Source organism: Homo sapiens, chromosome 4 (genome assembly GCF_000001405.40).
Source record: "Homo sapiens chromosome 4, GRCh38.p14 Primary Assembly".
NCBI lineage: Eukaryota > Metazoa > Chordata > Mammalia > Primates > Hominidae > Homo > Homo sapiens.
This window is the reverse complement of record NC_000004.12, coordinates 116,978,045-116,982,413: the sequence shown is the minus strand read 5'-3', so window position 1 is coordinate 116,982,413 and position 4,369 is coordinate 116,978,045. Positions and strand designations below refer to the sequence as shown.

General features: G+C 37.0%; 1 annotated feature.

The window, feature by feature from the left end:
- Window positions 1,227-2,426: an enhancer, noted in NCBI's record as "P300/CBP strongly-dependent group 1 enhancer chr4:117901144-117902343 (GRCh37/hg19 assembly coordinates)". NCBI's record gives its function as "activates an origin of replication core promoter dependent on BRD2, BRD4, P300/CBP, MED14 and CDK7 cofactors, with strong dependence on P300/CBP, by STARR-seq in HCT116 cells {active_cell/tissue: HCT116}" and the evidence as "EXISTENCE:reporter gene assay evidence [ECO:0000049][PMID:35650434]".

Genomic DNA, 4,369 nt, shown 5'->3' with positions numbered 1-4,369 from the left:
ATTTTTATCCCCCAAACTTTGAAATTAATATTTTAATAATTTTTATTCTCATCTTCCTAATCATATCTCTTTATAGGGTATATTTATATATACATCTTCTATAAAGCAAGCAGGTATCAAAAAATTAAAATACTACTGCAAATATGAGCTTACTATGATTATGACCCAGCAAATTTATTTGACATGATAAATAGTAAATATTGATTAAAACTTACTTATAGTAATTACTTTTTGTAGACCAAATGCTAAACAATGCTTTCCTAATACTAGGATGTATGTATCTCATGTCATCTTAGAAACACAATCTCTTGACCAAACAGTATTTCTTATTATTTCTTTCCCTAATAAATTTCAGCCCACTTAATGTCATTCTCCCTTTCTCTGGGTAGAAAATATTTTGTATACGGTGTAAGAAAAATTCCAAAATTTTTGACATCTTTCTTCCAGAAACATTACCAGTTGAGGTGATTTTTGTAGAAACTTTGAGGTGAAAGTGAGTACAGTTAAATTTAATGCTAACATAACCAAATTCATATTCCCCAAATTTAAATGTCAATGGATGCTTCCATTGCATCCATTCCATGGATGGCAACATTTAGTGTGGGGATTTAAGATACCATATACAATCTCATTTTATATTATATTGTTATTTTCTTAGAGAGAAAGTGCTGAAGTTATATGTGGCAATAATTCCTGAGGCTTCAAGAGCAAAAGCACTAGCTATAGTTTATAGAATAAGGTGATATATCTTAGTAGAGTCCTTTGCTGAAGGCTGGGGTGGGTGTAAAAATCTGAGAAACTTCTCACAAGTCTGAGGTTGTTCAGAAACACTTAAAATGCTAGTCTATCTTCATTTGCATGGAATCCAGAAAGTCTGCGGGAAAACAATTTAAAGTTAGTCTGGGTCAGACACCGCGGCTCACGCTTGTAATCCCAACACTTTGGGAGGCCGACGCGGATGGATCACTTGAAGCCAGGCAATTAAGACCAGACTGGCCAAAACGGGGAAACCCCATCTCTACTAAAAATACAAAAAATTAGCCGGGCGTGGTGGCATGCACCTGCAGTCCCAGCTTCCGGAGAGGCTGAGGCATGAGAATCTGCGAATCCCTTGAACCTGGGAGACGGAGGTTGCAGTGAGCCAAGATTACGTGGGTTCTCTCCAGCGTGGGCCACAGACACTCCGTCTCAATAAATAAGTAAATAAATAAATAAATAATAAAGTTAGTCTGAACCAGTTCAAACATATACCTGTTTGATAGCTGTGGGTGGGAGTGGGGTTTGGGAGGGTTGAAAGAAGGCTGTTCCGGAAGGAAGAATAATAAGGCCTTTGAGAAATTATCACCAGTGGATAAATAAATTATATAGAAAAGACCTACCTAAACAAAAAGCTGCAATGCCCAAAGGGGCATTTGTTCCATGCACGGAGTGATACTGAGGTGCAGAGGGCTACATTTGAAGGAAAGAACCATGTAGGTGACATGATAAGGTAAGAGGAGCCTGTAACCTGAGACTTGTGCTTTAGATGTTCTCAGTCTCTCTTATTTTCCCTTGTATATTATCTTGTCAAAATAATATTGATTAGTAATAAAAGAAGAATGTATGATGTTGGGGAAACCAGCCCCACACCACCCAGCGGGTACCCCGAGTCCGGCGAAGACAAAGGAGTTGGAAAGCGACAGAATAAGCGTTTAAAAGGCGGGTCCAGGAGACCGGATCATCGGAGGCTTGCTCAAGGCCTAGAGCTCTGGGCGCCGCCCAATTTATTGGTTTACAAGCTCTTTGTTCTTAGGGCAGATGGGAGGGGGAGGAAAGGATGAGGAAAAGGATTAATCACTGAAGGAGAACTTGTGAGTCATTCAATCAGATGTATAGCAGTGGCGGTTTCTGTGAATTTCCTTGAGCAAAGGCATGTGTCTAACTACTTAAGATCTTTAACTTATTGGGACTGAAACAGGTGGGAGTGGGTTTCAGGAGGAGCCAAGATGTTTGATTATACTCCACTGCTTTAAGGGAGTTTTATCTCCCTGAGCAACCTGTGGAATGCAGCTGAGCGGTTATGCTCTCCCGGCATAAAGACATGAATGCAATAACGAGACTTTTCTCCTCAGAGGCCGCCCATGGCTCCCCATGGGTGTCTCACACAGGGGAGACCAACTCAACTGGCACCCCAGAAACTCTCTTTCCAACATATCTCAGTTGTAACTCTTTTTTTTTTTCTCTCTCTCTCTGTCACACACACACACACACACACACACAATCTAGGACTTTAGAACTTTCAGATATTCCTCAGGATCTAGCCTTCAAATCTGGCACAGCAAAACCAATAACCCTAAATACTTTAGATATTAATGTATTCCAGAGGAAGGAGAGGGTTTATCCTCATCTTTTCTGCTTTGATATAAAAACAAAATGCAGTTTAGGCTACTTCCAGCTTCACCAATAGATACTGTGTCTGGGGACTGGTGTGTGGCAGGATTTGAGCAGGGAGGTGTCTTATTAAGAGGAAGGACAAATTATTAACATGGCAAATCCTTCTTCTTAGGTCACATTAAAGACAGAGATTCTTGCATGACAAAACATTTTTTCTGGATAGTGAAAATGGCCTCTTTTATTGTTTTTTTTATGTGCCGCAATACATGATTCCAGTGATAATCACAAAGTAACAAAATATTTCCAACAGCTACACATGGTTGTTGAGGATTACAGTGCATTGTTTACATTGTGAGCTATTTATTTCCTATGAAAGCATATTTTTCAACTTAGTATAGACCACATTTTATGTATGATCATTTGTTTATTTGTGATTTTAAATATTTAAGTATGCATATGTGAACCTCCAACTTTATCCATGTGCTGCAAATATAAGAGGTAGGTCTGGGCATGAGAAAATCATCTGATAAGAGTAAGCTATTTGCCTATTAACTCAAAACATATATGAAGCCTTAATTTCAGACAGGAATGGGCAACAGAAGTGTCACAATTACAAAGAACTCACATCACTCAGGTAGCCAGGGTAATTGTTTATGAAACAAGCCCCTCCAGTAGAATCTCATAAAAAGGAAGTGACTTTATCAAGGGCTTAAAAACTGTTGAAGACTAGGAGACTTTGGTGTAAGGCATGTAGGTATTTTTAGAATTTTCTTTTTGTTTGTTTGTTGGTTTTGTTTTTATTTTTTCTTTTTGAGATTGCATCTTGCTCTGTTGTCCAGGTTGGAGTGAAGGGGTGTGATCAAGCTCACTTCAGAATTAATCTTCTGAACTCAAGCAATCCTCTTACCTCACAATCCCAAGTATCTGGGACCACAGGTACGTGCCACCATGCCTGGGTAAATTTTTATTTTTATTTTCTTTGAAGAGATGGTGTCTCACCATGTTTCCCAGGCTAGTCTCAAACTCCTGGGCTTATGCAGTCCTCCCATGTCAACCTCCCAAAGTGCTGGGAGGTGTGAGCCACCATGGCCAGATTTCTTGAAAGTGTATAACCCAGGGATCCTGAGGATTGTCTAGAAATCCTGCTAATGCAACAGGTGAACATGTAAAACATTCATATAAATGTTTCATTTATGATTCATAATTCATGTGAAATAGCATGAGGAAACACAACAGAAAATAACTACAGGAAAGCTATCAGAATGTAACATAATAGAAAAACCCACCCAAGGGGACACAATTTTTTTCATTTCATTTCATTTCAACCAGTTTTTTTCCATTAAAACATGCTGTATTGCCCATTTCAATCAATGGATTATTAAACTTTTTATCTTTTATTCCTTCTAACAACTAAATTATGGCAAATCATATCAATAAAAAAGCCTTGAAATCCTTAGATGTTATAGAATTGCAAAGTATATTATTATTTACACTTAATTTGTAAACAGTATGCCATTTCCTGTCTAGTGATGCTAAAATTGTTCTTTTGTTTTTATTTTTATTTGTGAATAACTAAACATTATTTTAGAAGACTAAAATTGCATTGCCAATATTTGTTACTGTTTCTCTGATTCACTATTGCTCCAACCCAAAGTAACCTAGAAACTATTAGTTGAAAGAAAGTTGCAACTGAGATAGATTCTGATTGTATTACTAATCAATATTGTTTTGACAAAGTAATATACAAAGGGAAAATAAACTATAAAATATGTTTTGATATGCAATTTGATTCTGGGGAAAGTAAGAACTCATTTTACACTGAGCATAGTATGACTAAATTAAGCAGAATATAATAAAAGGAGCTTTTTCATTTTGAGACATTTTTGCAGTAAATACTCACCATAACACTACTGTATAAGCAATTAGTAGTTTCCAAGAACTCTTCTTGGTATATGTTTGAAATTCAAAATTAATATCTAAAATCTTCATGTAACAA